Source organism: Homo sapiens, chromosome 12, assembly GCF_000001405.40.
Source record: "Homo sapiens chromosome 12, GRCh38.p14 Primary Assembly".
Classification (NCBI taxonomy): domain Eukaryota; kingdom Metazoa; phylum Chordata; class Mammalia; order Primates; family Hominidae; genus Homo; species Homo sapiens.
In genome coordinates this window covers 117,138,508-117,155,521 of record NC_000012.12, presented here as the reverse complement: position 1 = coordinate 117,155,521, position 17,014 = coordinate 117,138,508, and the positions used below count along the sequence as shown (strand labels likewise).

At 46.6% G+C, this 17,014-nt stretch overlaps 1 protein-coding gene and 1 long non-coding RNA gene across 5 annotated transcripts in view, besides 3 other annotated features; one reads left to right on the top strand and one right to left on the bottom strand.

Moving 5' to 3' along the window:
• Window positions 1-13,531, top strand: part of FBXO21 (F-box protein 21) — a 48,480-nt gene extending 34,949 nt beyond the window's left edge. For all 4 annotated transcript variants that reach the window (XM_017019038.3, XM_017019037.3, NM_015002.3 and 1 more), the window contains one exon: window positions 9,245-13,531. In XM_017019038.3, coding sequence (XP_016874527.1) covers window positions 9,245-9,435 — 191 coding nt within the window. In that variant the 3' untranslated portion in view covers window positions 9,436-13,531. The remainder of the gene's footprint in view (window positions 1-9,244) is intronic.
• Window positions 62-241: a silencer, noted in NCBI's record as "silent region_4913". NCBI's record gives its function as "represses an Ori minimal core promoter by ATAC-STARR-seq in GM12878 lymphoblastoid cells {active_cell/tissue: GM12878}" and the evidence as "EXISTENCE:reporter gene assay evidence [ECO:0000049][PMID:35858748]".
• Window positions 11,531-12,730: an enhancer, noted in NCBI's record as "BRD4-independent group 4 enhancer chr12:117580597-117581796 (GRCh37/hg19 assembly coordinates)". NCBI's record gives its function as "activates an origin of replication core promoter dependent on BRD2, P300/CBP, MED14 and CDK7 cofactors, and independent of BRD4, by STARR-seq in HCT116 cells {active_cell/tissue: HCT116}" and the evidence as "EXISTENCE:reporter gene assay evidence [ECO:0000049][PMID:35650434]".
• Window positions 12,051-12,130: an enhancer, noted in NCBI's record as "active region_7103". NCBI's record gives its function as "activates an Ori minimal core promoter by ATAC-STARR-seq in GM12878 lymphoblastoid cells {active_cell/tissue: GM12878}" and the evidence as "EXISTENCE:reporter gene assay evidence [ECO:0000049][PMID:35858748]".
• A 501-nt stretch (window positions 13,532-14,032) lies between the features above and the next one.
• Window positions 14,033-17,014, bottom strand: part of TESC-AS1 (TESC antisense RNA 1) — a 42,023-nt gene continuing 39,041 nt past the window's right edge. The window contains exon 3 of the long non-coding RNA NR_120464.1: window positions 14,033-14,131. This is a non-coding gene — a long non-coding RNA (TESC antisense RNA 1). The remainder of the gene's footprint in view (window positions 14,132-17,014) is intronic.

Genomic DNA, 17,014 nt, shown 5'->3' with positions numbered 1-17,014 from the left:
AATCAAATTCCTGTAAGTCCTGCCTCCTGGACCCTGCCCTCGGCTCCTCCCAGACTAGAAGGGAACCGGATGAACACCTGGGGGCCCCCTAGTGCTCCCTGGCCTCCCAAGGCTGTGGCTGCCGGCTGACGCCGGAGATGCCCTCGTGTGGCCACCTGTGGGAACTGCAGCCCACTGCGCCGGCCCTGGGAGCACCTGAGAGCCCGCAAGTGTACAGTAAGGTTGGGTAGGCGTCTGGGCCACTGCCGCCCCGGCAGGTGCCAGCCCAGGGCAAGGCTGAGGTGGAGACTGACAGAGCCTGTGGAAGCTGGTAAGAGACAAGAATGCCTTCAGTGTGAGTCTCCCTTCTCTTTGTTCCTGTTGAATTTCACCTCTACTTAATAGGATGAATTCAGTGTATGTCTGTCAAAGCATTCACATTGATTAATTAATAATTCACATTTATTAATAAAAATGAATGTGAATGCTAATGTAGTGCCATTCTGTGACGGACATCATTCTAATGTATATTAACTCCATTTGAGAAACATCATCATCATCATTTTCTAGGTGAGGAAACTGAGGCACAGGGAAGCCATTGAGATTTTAACTTAGAGAACACGATTTGAAGCCAGGCAGCTTGACAGAGCCTCCTCTTCATCCATCATGCTGTACCTGCTCATGTCTGAGTTTTGACCTAACTCAATATTATGTTCTGATAAATCCAATAATCAAAATATGGGATGTATAAAAACCTCAGAACTTTCTGAAAGGCTGGAGATTGCCAGGTGAGGTGTCTCACACCTATAATCCCAGCACTTCGAGAGGGTGAGGCAGGAGGATTGCTTGAGCTCAGGAGTTGGAGACCAGCCTGGGCAACACAGCAAGACCTCATCTCTGCAATTTAAAAATTAACCAGGCAGAGTCATGTGCACCTGTGTTCCCAGCTACAACACAGCAAGACCCCATCTCTACAAAAAAATTTAAAAATTAGCCAGGCAGAGTAGTGTACACCTGTGGTCCCAGCTATTCAGGAAGCTGGGTTGGGAGGATCACTTGAGCCTGGGAAGTGAAGGCTACAGTGTGCTCTGATTGTGTTGCTGCACTCCAGTCTGGGTGACAGAGTGAGACCTCATCTTAAAATAAAAGGCTGGAAAATAATGATTATTGTCAGTTAATCAGAAACTGAAAGGATCCCCTGGAACAGCAGCATCAAGATAAATGTTTGTTGAAACTGCAGGTCGCTTGCCCTGTCTCAGTGTGATGGGGATGGTGTAAGGGGTTTCTGTGCTCCCTGTGGCAGATGGAGGCACCAACGGTAATGTTATTTAACTTTTGAAGCTGTGTCGAATATAAACAATCTCTAAAAATCAACACATGATTTGGACATTATTGACTGATTCACTGGGCCACTGGTGCCAGCACAAGTCACCTGGTAAACGCTTGATAGCCTACAACAAATGGCGTTCACAAGAATAAATGAGCATTTTCTTTTCAACAACACCGTGGGCCAGTGTCTATGGCTTTACCACATGGCATCATTATTCACTGTTTAGGGTTGGTCTTAAGTATTTGGTTTTAGGGGTTGTGATATGTTCACTTCAGAAGTTGATCTCTAATCATATCTAGGTAAACATGCAATGTAAGGTTTAGTCATAAAATTGTCATTACTGAAAAAATTAATATCTGCTTGTTGGTTTTACCATCTGTTAAATTGAGATGGAACTAAATGATGGGTAATGTTAGCAAATTGGCTTCTTGAATTTAAAACGTAGAACTTCAAAGCTGTTCCTACACTATGAGAGTTCCCGTCTTCTGCCGGCGGCTCCATCAGCGCTGTGTCAGCAAGCGCTTCCTGAGGGACTCGGAGTCCTGGGCCAAGGGGCAGATCTCCCCCAGCATGCCTGATACGTGGCTGTCTTCAGGGTCCTCCCTCTCCAGGGGACTCTCCTCTAGGCCTTCATCTCCTTCCCCCTTGGGGTGTCTGTGGATGTGCTGGTGACTCCCAAAGCCGTGTTCTCTGGGCTCTTCTCTGGGCTCCGTGCCCACCTCTGTAACAGCCCCCGGGCATGTGTGCTTGGAGGGCTCTCAGGGGTCTTCTCTCCAACATTGTTACCCCGACTCACTGAACCCATTGTTTTAACTCGATTATCTCTGTAAAGAAAGAAAAAACATGAACTCATTGTGCCCCCATACCCCCCTTGCTCCTGCCTGCCCCATCTCACTAGTGACACCACGTGGGGGCCGTGTCTTGCTCTTCTCCCCTTGCCCTCGCGATACATCTGTCTACACACCCACTGCTGTCTCCTCATGTGTCTCCCATTTCCATTCTGGTGGTCTCTGCTTGCCTACTTCCTAACTGGCACCTGCCTCCCGGCCTGTCCCCAACCGGGCATTTTCCTTAGCAACAGCAAGAGGATCTTCCTAGCGTGTCCCTGGACCGGGCCACTTGCTGCTTGAATTGACTGACCATCAGGAGTTTCTCATCGGCAGGCAGTGCAGAATGCTTTACCAGGCCCTAGGGATCTGGCCTTCCCCTTACAGCCCCAGCACGGTTCCCACGCCTGACATACTCCAGCCCACTTCCGTTCATCTTCTTTGAAGTCATCATTCTTGCTCGCACGTGGAACAGTTAAAAGAATACATCAAATACCCCCATTTACCCTCTAGTCAATTCAACAGTAAATGATTCCCATATTTGCTTTATCTATAGAGATTTTACTGTTTTCCTGCACCATTTGAAAGAATATTGCAGACATGACCTAATTATGTCTGAGTATAAGGAGATTCCTCTGCATAACCAAATTACATTATCACACCTAGTAACAATTATTTTATAATATCTAATAGTTTTCAAATTTCTCAATTGTCACAAAATAACTTTATGCCTATTTTTGGCTTGTTTCTTAAAATCAGTATCCAACCAGAATTCATTCACTGCATTTGGTTGTTTTTTTTCTCTTTAGTCTCTCTTATTAAAGACAGTTCCTCATTCTTCATTTTTTTTCCCCCCTTTTTCATATGACTTTGACTTTTTGAAGAATCCAGACTGGTTGTCTTGTAAATTTTTTTTTTTTTTTGAGACAGGGTGCTCTGTCACCCAGGCTGGAGTGCAGTGGTACAAACATGAGTCACTGCAGCCTCAACCTCCTGGGCTCAATTGATCCTCCTATCTCAGCCTCCCAAGTAGCTGGGACTGCAGGCATGCACCACCACACCTGGCTATTTTTTGTGTTTTTGTAGAAATGGGGTTTCACCATGTAGCCCAGGCTGGTCTCGAAGTCCTGGACTCAAGCATTCTGCCCGCTTCAGCCTCTCAAAGTGTTGAGATCACAGGTGTGAGCCACCGTGCCTGGCCATTGTCTTGTAAATTGTATAACATTTTGGATTTGCCTCATTGGTTCCTTAACTGTATGATGTCTGCCAGCTGGGAGTGAAGTCTGAGTCCTGATTAGATCGGGATAAGAATTCTTGGGGAGGATACTTCACATCCCTCGCCCCGTGCTTCCCACTGGGTCTCATCAGGGGCCCCCTGTGAGTGATACTGAGTTTGGTCACTTGGCTAAGATAGTGACTCACTATTTCAATTAAGAAATCCACGTGGTCACTCTGTAGCATCCTGTAAAGATCCTGTTCCCCAGTGACCTTGAACATCATGGTTTTAGCACTTTTTGAATATCCTTGCCTAAATCTTTGTATGAGAATTGCCGAGTGGTGATTTTTCCACCACTGTTATTCTCTCTACTTCAATGAACAAGAGCCGCCTTCTTCCTCCCTGCCTCTCCCTTCCCCCTCCCTCTCTCCTCCCCTGCCCTTGTCTCTGCCATAGATTCCTGGATTTTTATTTATTCAATGTGTTATAATCACGTGGGACAATTTTATGCTCACATTTGCCCATTTTTAGCCAGTGAGAGGCCAAATTTTAAAAACACATATTAAATATTTTTTGAACATTTCTGGGTTAATGTGTTTTTATGAAATGTATTTTTTAAACACTTTTCTTGATCTAAATTTCCAGCCTTTGGCTCCAATGATCCTATTAGCCCAGGTAGAACCCATTCATAATGCTTTTCTAATTACTAGCTCTGCACGGAGAGTTGAAGAGTGAATTAGAAATCACATACATATATGACATCTTCAAATAGTTTTAGTTTGTACAATGAAGAGAATTCTTTCCCCGGTGTGTACTCTCTCACCTAAACCCTAATGGGATGTCCGGCATCTTGCATGTGTGTAATGTTGTGTTCCCACAAGGGGGCGCGCTTTGATACTTTCATGGCCCTGGGTGGGAGAGTGCCGCTCCTGTCCCGCCTCCTTCTGGACTTCTCGGAAGCTCCGAGTCTAGGTCAGCCGCCGTATTGAAAGGCCAGGAATTCAACTACCATGTGAAAATCTCGTTCTTAAGTTTTGTCTGTAATGGTAAAGCACCTGTACAATGCTTGGCACATGGCATGTCCTCGACAAACGTTGGTTCCCTTTTCCATAACTTATTTGATGCTTCCAAACTCAACTTTCCACCCATACAGTCCTCCCCGCCCGACACACACACACACACACACACACACACACACACACACACACACACAAACTTATTTGATACTTCCAAACTCAACTTTCCACCCATACAGTCCTCCCGCCTGACACACACACACACACACACACACACACACAGTCCATGGCCAGCTGTACCTGCTGGCAAGTGTGGTGAGGTGAATGGGGATCCCCTGCATGGGGGTGGGGTTGAGTGTTAAGTGGCACAAACATGTCAGAGGATGCTTTGGCTTTCGCTTTCAAATTGTAAAAATCTCAAGCACACATTCTCTTCCAGCCTAGCAGTTCCACCTCGATCCCTCCACACGTGTACAAGGAGGTCTTTGGCCCCTTTGTTAAAATAGCAAGACAATTGTCATTCACAAGGAGTCTTCTAGTAGCCTGGGGTCTATGCAGACTGGAATGAATACTAAGCTGCAATTGAATAAGCCAGTTGCGGGTGAGTGGTTAGAATACGTTTTGTTTAAGTACACACACATAAAGCAGTACTAAATTTTAAGTATACTTAGGGTATCTAGCTGCCTATGTGTGTGCTCACAGGAGGACTGCAGCGACACACTGGCACCGATGGTGCTTTTCTCTTGGAGAGGAAGACCGGATCAGGACAGGACAGGTGCCCACACAGGACTCATGGGTAGTGTTTCCATAGTATTTATTCATATATTTTGGGGTAGCTGAACGTTAAAATAAGCAGACAGATTTCTCTGAAAACTTGAAGAGAATCCAGGAAGATTTCTCAGGATTTTTCAGAACTTTTAAGTGGTGCCTGGTTCATGTTTTACTCAATTAAGTTTTGTGTTACTTAGATTTATCATTTTTCTTACAAGTAAACTTTGGGAAAATCTTCTTAGTGGATTGGCATTTATTTTTCTTTCATAATACATAGTTGCCAACTTCATTATGTTGTTAATTTTTTCCTGTTCTGCTTCTTAGCAAGCTAGGAGCTCAGGCCAGTAAATGCACCAAATCCAGTCCTTGCTCCTCTCTAACAGCCAGGAGTGGGGCTGGGAGCACCCTCGAGGACTGTCATTTACTTCTTGCCTGGTTTCCCACCGTTCCTGCCTGGACTTCTCATGCATCTTGTTCTGGGCCCATGTTCAGAATTCTGTGTAGTAGCTGTTGGGTCCTGTTGCCCTGGCACATCTGTGTTTGATAACCTGAGTTTCCGCTTCTTTCCTCCTCCCAACAGAAGCCGAATGTTACCAACACCAGGCTGTCCCTCGATAATACATAGAAAGGAAAAAGTGGAGGAGAAGGGAACAATGCTGAAACACAGGGCTGGGTCTCTGGAGCAGGGCTTGTCAGCCCAGCACTAGTCACATGTTGGTCAAGATAACCGTTTGTGGGGGGCCGTCCTGTGCGTTGTAGGGTACTTAGCAGCACCCCTGGCCTCCACCCACTGCAAGCTGGCAGCAGCTCTCAGTTACAACCAAACATGTCTGCAGGCCTTACCAGATGTCCCTTTAGTAGCAAAAGAGCCCCCAGATGAGAACTGCTCCAGACGAACTGGCAACAAAGCAGTTATTCTAAACTACCTGCTTGAATTCTGTGTACTTCAGATACCTATGTCCTGTTTACCAATGACAGGTAACAGTGGTTCCCTTAGAGCAAAGGGGATTTTTGTCTCGATGGTATTCCCAGCTTCTTTACCCTCTACTATTTCTGTGCAGCTCTGCAAGAAAATCCAAACATGGCCAGGCGTGGTGGCTCACACTTGTAATCCCAACACTTTGGGAGGCCAAGACAGGAGGATCATTTGAGCCCAGGAGTTTGAAAACAACCTGGGCAACGTAGCAAGACCCTGTCTCTACAAAAAAGAAAAGAAAATCCAAAGGCCAGGGCCCTGGCAGGTGGCCTGGTTAAGATACCAGGTTGTGGTCATGTCCCCGTAAGCCTCCTCAAGGAAAATATGCTTTGCTAGTTGGTTCCTCCTGTTACTGGATGTGAAGAGGGAGGTGGCAGCAGTGGGTGGACAGGAAAGGGCATCTTAGCCAGTGGCATTTTGAAACATTTGCAGCATTTTGTTTTTTAACATTTATTGATTTTTCCCAAGAGAAAATCATCTCTAGAGACCTGACAACAGTAGAGAGATCAGAGTTAGTGGATGACTCAGTTTCCTTCGGGGAAAAGTGGGAGGTCCTGAAACCACAGGCTCCTGTGTGTTAATGTGGGCTGGAGCGTCCCTTTGGGGGCAGCGGTGTTCTCTGAGTCTACCCAGCCCCTCCCCGCCTGCTGTCTCCTGACTGTTGGATTTTTCTTACTTCTGGTTCCCTTCAGCCCTGGAATGGGACTGTCTGGTTTGAGTCCGGGGTTAAATCCTTGGGCAGCCCACGCAACAGCAGAAGGGGGCTCCTTCCAGGGTTACGTGGCAGGGGTGCCTGTGACACCGCTGTGGGGTCTGGCACGTTGTAAGTGCCCAGTTTAAACTCTGTGCCACTGTGCCACGTCATGGAGCAACCCCTGATCCATGGCCTTCCAGGCCCTTTCTAAGTGGTACAACCTTTCTACCCCCACCTTTCTTGGAGGATCTTACAAACAGGTTGCTCATTTTCATGGCCGCCTCCTGCTTTGCTGAATTAATGTGCCATCATTTATTCACACAGTGACCTACACTTGGACGTTTACACTGCTCTTCCAGTTTTCCTAGCATAAGTACTGTTAAGGTAAACAGCCTCCATACATTTATCTCTGCACATGACGTGTCTGTGACTTCCTCAGCGGTACTGATTTGTTCAGGCAGTTCTGTCCCTGGTCACAGTCTGCCGAAACAGCCTAAAACAACATATTCTCACATTTCTTCAGCTCCTCCTGTTTTATGTTTAAAAAGAACCCTGCAGATTGAGTCCTACAACTCCTTCCCCCTCTCCCCAAAGACTACCAGTTAAAGTCAGTGCTTCAGAAAGATGCCTGCGTTCATCCTGTGTACTTCGGGGATGCAGGGCCTCTGATGCCCTGACTTTGTGTTTCAGGATGTTTAACCCAGCTGTTTAAGAAATAATAGGCCACGCTGTTCGTGTCGGTGAGCCCATCGTTGGCCTTACTGGTATTAATTCATAGACCCATTTGCGTTCATTCGAGTGATGGGCAGTGCCAAGGATGGCTTCAGAGTGATCGGAACTGGGGTGCCCTGGGGACACAGTCACAATAGGAGGATCTGCCCAGCCCAGCTTCCTTCCGGTGTCAGGTCATGGAGGGCATAGCTGGGCTTCTCCTGCATCAGGGGCCACACCCAGTCTTAGGCCAGGCCTCCGTGGGCGGCAAAGAAGGGCGCACAAAGCACCGTCCTTTAACTGGCCCTGTGGAGGAGCCTTGTTCCAGGTGTTCTGGGGAAGTGGGAAACCAAGCCTTTTAAATACCTTGCCTGTATTATCTCTTTTTTTTTTTTTTTTTTTTTGAGATGGAGTCTTGCTCTGCTGCCCAGGCTGGAGTGCAGTGGTGTGATCTTGGCTCACTGCAACCTCCGCCTCCCAGGTTCAAGCAGTTCTCTGCCTCAGCCTCCCAAGTAACTGGGATTACAGACGCCCGCCATGACGCCCAGCTAATTTTTGTATTTTCAGTAGAGATGGAGTTTTACCATCTTGGCCAGGCTGGTCTTAAACTCCTGACCTCATGACCCCCTACCTCATCCTCCCAAAGTGCTGGGATTACAGGCATGAGCCACTGCACCTGGCCCTTTTTTTTTTCTTTTTTTTTTTTTTTTTCCATTTTTTCAGTCTTATTTTCTATTTCTTTCTTTCTTTCTTTTTTTTGAGATGGACTTTTGCTCTTGTTGTCCAGGCTGGAGTGCAATGGCATAATCTCAGCTCACTGCAACCTCCTCCTCCCAGGTTCAAGCGATTTTCCTGTCTCAGCCTCCTGAGTAGCTGAGACTACAGGAGTGCACCACCATGCCTGGCTAGTTTTTGTATTTTTAGTAGAGACGGGTTTCACCATGTTAGTCAGGCTGGTCTTGAACTCTTGACCTCAGGTGATTCTCCCGCCTCAGCCTCCCAAAGTGCTGGGATTACAGGTATAAGCCACTGCTCCCAGCCTTATTTTCTATTTCTCTAGTGGCAAAATAGAGAACAGAGAGAAGAGGTAGCATGGTTTTCCCAAGAGATGGTACAGATAATAACATCTGATATCCACATGGGGTCTGGAGGTGCAAGCCACCTTCCTTTCATCCCACGGTCTCACAGCAGCCCTGGAAAGAGGCTGCTCTCTGTTGGAAGCTAAGGGCCAGTGTTGGAAGGAGCTCGGGTGGAAAGTGTGGTCTGCATGAGGGGCTCCTGTGAATAGAGGAGAGGGGTGGCAGGTACGAGACTTGTCACCATGTGACATGGCAGCTTCAGAAACTTAGCCACTGCCAAAAAAAGAGCAGGCAGGGATAATGTTGTCCCATTGTCCAGTCAGAGAGACCTGTTGAGTCTCTAGTTTGCCAGTCCCCAAGAGACCTTTGGAGTTTTGCTGGAGCCAGACATCCTGCTTAGAGATGAGGAAGATCCTGCTGTTCCGTGGGGAGCTCTTGAGACACCCGTGCCACCACCCACCTTCTCCTGATTGCCACTTGCTGCCCTTTTCCCATTACCCTCTCCTGACTCCATAAACATCTTCAGTCTTCCCTTCTCCACCCCAAAAATGCCACCTGGAAGGGGTGATGGGAGGTTCTCTGGATGAAAGGTGTGGCAGCAATGGACATTGTAATGAGAATGCCCGTGTGCCTCTTTACCAACAGAAAACTTGGAATATAACGTGGAGCCTCAAGAAATCTCACACCCTGACGTGGGACGCTATTTCTCAGAGTTTACTGGCACTCACTACATCCCAAACGCAGAGCTGGAGATCCGGTATCCAGAAGATCTGGAGTTTGTCTATGAAACGGTGCAGAATATTTACAGTGCAAAGAAAGAGAACATAGATGAGTAAAGTCTAGAGAGGACATTGCACCTTTGCTGCTGCTGCTATCTTCCAAGAGAACGGGACTCCGGAAGAAGACGTCTCCACGGAGCCCTCGGGACCTGCTGCACCAGGAAAGCCACTCCACCAGTAGTGCTGGTTGCCTCCTACTAAGTTTAAATACCGTGTGCTCTTCCCCAGCTGCAAAGACAATGTTGCTCTCCGCCTACACTAGTGAATTAATCTGAAAGGCACTGTGTCAGTGGCATGGCTTGTATGCTTGTCCTGTGGTGACAGTTTGTGACATTCTGTCTTCATGAGGTCTCACAGTCGACGCTCCTGTAATCATTCTTTGTATTCACTCCATTCCCCTGTCTGTCTGCATTTGTCTCAGAACATTTCCTTGGCTGGACAGATGGGGTTATGCATTTGCAATAATTTCCTTCTGATTTCTCTGTGGAACGTGTTCGGTCCCGAGTGAGGACTGTGTGTCTTTTTACCCTGAAGTTAGTTGCATATTCAGAGGTAAAGTTGTGTGCTATCTTGGCAGCATCTTAGAGATGGAGACATTAACAAGCTAATGGTAATTAGAATCATTTGAATTTATTTTTTTCTAATATGTGAAACACAGATTTCAAGTGTTTTATCTTTTTTTTTTAAATTTAAATGGGAATATAACACAGTTTTCCCTTCCATATTCCTCTCTTGAGTTTATGCACATCTCTATAAATCATTAGTTTTCTATTTTATTACATAAAATTCTTTTAGAAAATGCAAATAGTGAACTTTGTGAATGGATTTTTCCATACTCATCTACAATTCCTCCATTTTAAATGACTACTTTTATTTTTTAATTTAAAAAATCTACTTCAGTATCATGAGTAGGTCTTACATCAGTGATGGGTTCTTTTTGTAGTGAGACATACAAATCTGATGTTAATGTTTGCTCTTAGAAGTCATACTCCATGGTCTTCAAAGACCAAAAAATGAGGTTTTGCTTTTGTAATCAGGAAAAAAAAAAATTAATGAACCTTAAAAAAAAAAAAAAAGGTTTTGAAGGGAAAAAAAGTGGTTTCACACCTCTTGTTATTCCTTAGAGTCACTTCAAGGCCTGTTTGAATGTGGCAGGTTAGAAAGAGAGAGAATGTCTTTCATTTGAAGAGTGTTGGACTTGTGTGAAAGGAGATGTGCGTGTTGGAATCTGCTTTTCCAAGCCGCCAGGGTCCTGACGGCAGCAGGACGAAGCCTGTTGTGGCGTCTTCTGGGAAAGCCTGACCGTGTGTTCGGACGGCACTGGCTCCTTTCCGAAGTTCTCAGTAACTGAGCCCAGAGTAACTGCACGCCTTTGTGCAGCTCTGGAGCTCCACCAACTCTCGGCCTGCCAGTTCTCAAGCGAGCTAATCTTGTCATTAATCGATAGAAGCTAACTTCCGAAGTTAGGACCTAGTTACTTTGCTCTCAACATTTAAAATAATGCAGTTGCTCTAGTGAATGGGGCGTTAGGGGCCTGTCTCTGCACCTGTCTGTCCATCTGCATGCAGTATTCTCACCCATGTTGAATGCCTGCTGCTTGTTTACCCTTTGGAAACCCTGGGGTGACCAAGGTTTGGAAAGCCACCTGAGACCACTTCATAGCAAGGGAAGGCTTTAAGCAGTTACTAGAAAGAGATGGGGATTTGGCCCCTGGCTCCTCCAGCCTGAATGAGCTATTTAATCCACTGTCCATGTTCCTCATCAGTCAAATCCAAAGTCAAAGGATTTGAACCTGCATCTGGAAACGTAACCACTCACAGCACCTGGCCCGCCAAGGTTGGGAGGATTGTACACTACTTTCATTTAAAGGGGAAAGTTTGATAATACGGAATTAATTAATATGAATGAGATGCATTAATAAGAACCTGAGCATGCTGAGAGTTGCAATTGTTGGTTTTCTGGTTTGATTGATTTCCTTTTTTCTTAGACACATCAAAGTCAAGAAAGATGGTTTTACCTTTACTGACCCAGCTGTACATATGTATCTAGACTGTTTTTAAATGTCTTTCTTCATGAATGCTTCATGGGGCTCCAGGAAGCCTGTATCACCTGTGTAAGTTGGTATTTGGGCACTTTATATTTTTCTAAAAACGTGTTTTGGATCCTGTACTCTAATAAATCATAAGTTTCTTTTTAAAAATTTTCCAAAACTTTTCTCCATTTTAAAAAGCCCTGTTATAAACGTTGAACTTTCACAATGTTAAAATGTTAAATATTTGGATATAGCAACTTCTTTTCTCTTCAAATGAATGCCAAGATTTTTTTGTACAATGATTAATAAATGGAACTTATCCAGAGAAACCACGCAAATGGCCTGCCCAATTTCGTTTGAGGACAGAAAGCCCAGCCATGACTTGAGTAGAATGTCTCTCACCTCTCTTCGGATCTAAATATGAAAAGTATGTTCTGCTGAATTTTTCTGAGCATTGGTGAGCGGACAGCCTACCTGTAAACCATGACCTCCTTGCCAAACGTTAATTTTATCAGCTCACTAGTAACCTTTGAGAATTATCTGGTTGTCATGCAAAGATTGCACTTTCTGAATTATGTTAAAACACATGTTGTAAAATGAGAACTGCTCATGCTTTGAAAGAAAACCAGGTTCTTCGTGCGTTCTGTTGCCGTTGATTTGAATGGCTGTGCTGTATACGATGTGTCCAGAATGTCTTCAGAGCACTGTTTCCGTGTGATGTTACTACCTACTATGTGGGAGGAAAAAAGGTTATAGGTTAAACAAAGTCAATTGACTCTATGGTGGTGTTTCTCAATACCTGTGACGCACAGTACTGTGCGTCGTGACTTTCTAAGAGAAGTGTGCAGCGGGTGTGTCATCTTGATATATGAAACCCTGGAATTTCCCTCCCCTACACGCACGCACCGTCCCCGGGGGTCCGGTGTTTGCAGACATGCTTTGAAAAGCTGTCTCAGTGAGACATCAGTTATGTCCAAAATGAGTTTACCTTAGAATCAGACCGGTTTTGCCAGGCGTCATGTTTGCAAACATTATCCACCTAATCAGATTTTGAAAGGCCGGCTTTCATGTCGCCTGCCTGAGACTCATAACAGATCCCCATTATAAGCGCGTTTACACAGCAAAATGATTTTATTGAGAAAACCAGCATTAAGTACTGTTGCCGGCTCAGTTTTCCATTGCATACTATCTACTTAAAGTCCCGTTCTCATTTGTAAGTGTTCCGATCTTTCCCCACGGAGAAAACTGAGCAGAGCTGCCGTGTCGCAGGCTTTCTGCTGCTGATGTCGCATCTCTTTGCTTTCCCCTCCTTAGTCCATACTCCAAGTAAGTGAACTCAGACTACCAGCAACTTTTTAACTGAAAAGTATCTGTCCATGATGATCAAGATGCAGCTCTTCGTGTTTTTATTTTGTCTTTTTTTTTTTTTTTTTTTTTTGGAGGGAAGGAGAGACATCAACTGGACAAAATGCAAAATTTGGATGTGGGACAATTGCTTTTTGGAGACGTGAATAGCTGTACTGTACGTATTATTTTGTGTGGCATGCTAACTTTGAGCCGGGCACTGGCCTAATAAAGTCTTTGTAATCCTCCCAGCAATCCTATAAAGCAGACGCAGATAGTAAAGATTTTAGGCTTTGCAGGCCACGTACAGACTGTCACATGTTCTCTGTTTTTAAAAGTGTCAACAACATTCTTAGCTCAAAAACAGGCTGCAGGTGGGATGGTGCCCACAGGCCATAGTTGGCTGACCCCGGCTAGGGTGTAGGCACTTAGCATTCCACTGTATAAAGGGGAAACCCAGGTCATACTGCGTGTGCGTGGGTGGGAAGCCGGATGTGGAATACAGGTGGTCCCTGAGTCTCCAGGAACCACTGAGCTCCAGCTGTTCACACCCACACTCTGCGGCGCAAGCAACTACCTCGCCACGGTTTAGCCTTGGTCTAGCAGCGACTTTAACCTTGAATGTTGCATTTCTGAAAAATTTAGAATCTTGAAAGTAAAGGACGTCCCTCCGGTGAATAAAATTAGGCGCAATTATAGAATACATGTATTATGGCCACGTAGCAATGACTGTATTAGGGCTCTGCTAGTTCTGTAATAAATAGACCCGAAAAGCAACAATGGCTCAAACACCATAGAACGTTTTTGCTTCCATAATATTGGGCAGGGGAATGGGCTGGCAGGGCAGCCCTTATGCAGGCAGGCATCAGAGCAACCTGAGCCGTCCATCTCCATCCCGCCTGAAGTAGCGGGGAGCATGGAGGGCTGAGACCATCTGGGAGCTTCCATGAGCCAGGTGTGGAAGTGGCACCCCTTATGTCCACTCATTTTGCACGGAGGTGGGAAACGTCCAGTTGTGTTCTAGGAAAGGAGACAGAACACAGTGTGGGTGGAAGCTCTGGTCCACTGCACGGGCCACTCCAGTGTGCTCCTCCACCGCAGGAGACAGCCACGGACAGCTAAGCCAGGCTGTCCGTGGGGACGGACACATTTCTGCAGTCTCCGGCTCAGTCGCCCCTGCCTAAGTAGCACATAGAGGCAGTGGAGTTCCCTTCAGATGGCACTGTCTGTGTACACTCACGGTCTCCACCGCAGATGGCTGCAGCAGCGGGGAGCAGACCTCTCACCGCGTGGGTCACATGCACTACCTCTGCCTCAACAGCCAGATCTCAAGTGGCCGGCCACACCTTCGTTCCAGAGGAGGTGCCAAATGGTTTCCTGTGGGCCCGAAAGGAAGAGAAAAGGTTTGGTGGGCACAGACTTGTGTGTGCCTCACCCCCAGAGCCCTCCGCGGTCCCTGCATCCTACTCAGCCCAGTTTCCCTGGGCCGTGCAAGTTCCCTCCATCAGCCCAGCGTGGCGCCTCCGGGATCCCCCACCCCCAATTCCCATTAAGAGGTGAAGCAGGGACGGCAGCTGCAATAAGAACTCCCATTTGAGAAAAAGAAAGAATGAAACAAGTTGCTGGTCTCTAGCAGGGATGAAATCCCACTCGCGGGGGACCTTGGTAAGACCCCTGCCTTTGTCATGGCCGGGGGTGACGTTTCTTGCATAAGCCCTGACTCTGCTCTCCGGGAGGAACTCCCTGCCCTCTGGGAAGTTCTTCCTCAAATCTCATCCTCTCTGGTCTCCTCAGAAGTGGGTGTCGGGTGCATCCTGCCGGGGTGCTGGCCAACTTTCACACTCCACTTCCTGCTGGGTGCAGCTTTAGGGGCCTGTCCAAGACTTTTATTTACTTATTTGTACAACAAGCTTGCAATTCCTCTGGCAATGATTCCCTCTAAAGCTTAGCAAGCCATTAACCTATTGGTGCCAGCAATCGTAGCCAGCTTTATCACCTCTTGGCTCTCTCTTCCCCCTGACTTAACGTGGCTTAATGTGGCTGCCTTCATCTGATATTAACCAAAGGTGAGGCTCACTGCTTAAGTGAAAAATTTTTATTGTTATTTTTTGAGGCAGAATTTCGCTCTTCTTGCCCAGGCTGGAGTGTAGTGGCGCAATCTCAGCCCACTGCAACCTCTGTCTCCTGGGTTCAAGCGATTCTCCTGCCTCAGCCACCCAAGGAGCTGGGATACAGGCACGTGCCACCACCCTCAGCTAATTTTGTATTTTTAGTGGAGATGGGGTTTCACCATGTCAATCATCAGGCTGGTCTCAATCTCCTGACCTCAGGTGATCCACCTGCCTCGCCTTCCCAAAGTGCTGATTACAGGCATTTAACGGGTCTTTGTTGTTCGGTGATTTTCTTTGAGATGGAGTCTCGATCTGTCACCCAGGCTGGAGAGCAGCGGCACGACCTTGTACTCCTGGGTTTGATCAATTCTCCTGCCTCAGCCTCCCGAATAGCTGGGAATGCAGGTGTGTGCCACCACGCCCAGCTAATTTTTGTGTTTTTAGTAGAGATGAGGTTTCAGCATATTGGCCAGGATGGGTCTCGATCTCATGACCTTGTGATCCACCCACCACAGCCTCCCAAAGTGCTAGGATTACAGGTGTGAGCCACGCACCTGGCTTTTTTTTTTTTTTTTTTTTTTTTTTTTTAAGACGGAGTCTTGCTCTGTCGCCCAGGCTGGAGTGCAGTGACGTGATCTCGGTTCACTACAACCTCCGCCTCCTGGCTTCAAGTGATTCTTGTGCCTCAGCCTCCTGAGTGGCTGGGATTACAGGTATGCACCACCACTCCCAGCTAATTTTTGTATATTTAGTAGAGACGGGGTTTTGCCATGTTGGCCAGGCTGGTCTCAAACTCCTGGCCTCAAGTGATTCACCTGCTTCGGCCTCCCAAAATGCCGGGATTACAGGCGTGAGCTACCGGCGCAGCCGATTTTCATTCTCCTTTCCTGTTGGTGTGTAGAAGCAGTGGCCTTTTCCACACAGGACACCTGGGATTTCAGTCTCTTTTCCATTTTAGTTCTCAAACCAGCACATATTTACTTCACTCCTGTTTTTCTTGTCTTCCCTGGTGATAAACAACAAAGAGCCATCTACACACTGTATTCCTTGTCTCTTTTGGCTACTTTCTCTAGACTGGCCGCAGGGCCAGTGGTTCCACCTTGCAAACCGAAAGCAACAATTCTACCAAGTCTGACCCCGAAACAGAGCTCTCCAGCCTTCCGGCCTCCCCAGGAGGTGTTTCCTTGCCACTTGACTGCTAGGCTAACACCATAGAGTTTAGGGTTTTTATACAGTGGTGCCCCTCTCAATGGTTTTGTTTATTATTATTATTATTATCATTAAGTTTAAAGTGGGCTAATATTTCCATAGGAAGTTCTATTTCCTATTTGGCTGTGCAATTAAGAAAAAAAAACTGAGAACAATGATTCAAGTCTTTGAGAGTGGGAAGAGCTACACGTCATTTAGTAAATGCAGGGAAGGAAGTTGCATAGAATACAGAAAGGAGAAATTTTGGGAGAATGAACTAGGTAGTCTCATTATAGAATCCTTGCATGGTTAGAATTTCCAGCTGGGCACAGTGGCTTGTATAATCCCAACACTTTGGGAGGCCAAGGTGGGAGGATCACTTGAGGCTAGGAGTTTGAGATCAGCCTGAGCAATATAGCAAGACCCCCATCTCTACAAAAAATTTAGAAATTAGCCAGGCGTGATAGCTTGCGCCTATAGTCCCAGCTACCCAGGAGGCTGAGGCAGGAAGATTGTTTGAGGTCGAGGCTGCAGTGAGCTGTGATGGCGCCACTGCACTCCAGCCTGGGTGACGGAGCAAGACTATCTCAAAAGAGAAAAAAGAAAAAGAGAAAAAAAGAATTTCCACCTACTTTTTTTTTTTTTTTTTTTTTTGAGACAGAGTCTCACTCTACCACCCAGGCTGGAATGCAGTGGCACAATCTTGGCTCACTGCAGCCTCCGCCTCCTGGGCTCTTGTGTCTCAGCCTCCCGAGTAGCTGGGGCTACAGGCGTGTGGCGCCACACCCGACTAATTTTTGTATTTTTAGTAGAGATGCTGTTTCATCATGTTGCCCAGGCTGGTCTCGAACTCCTGACCCCAAGTGATCTGCCTGCCTCGGCCTCCCAAAGTGCTGGGATTACAGGCATGAGCCACCGCGCCCGGCTCTCCACCTACTTTTTAAATGAAAGAATTCTTATA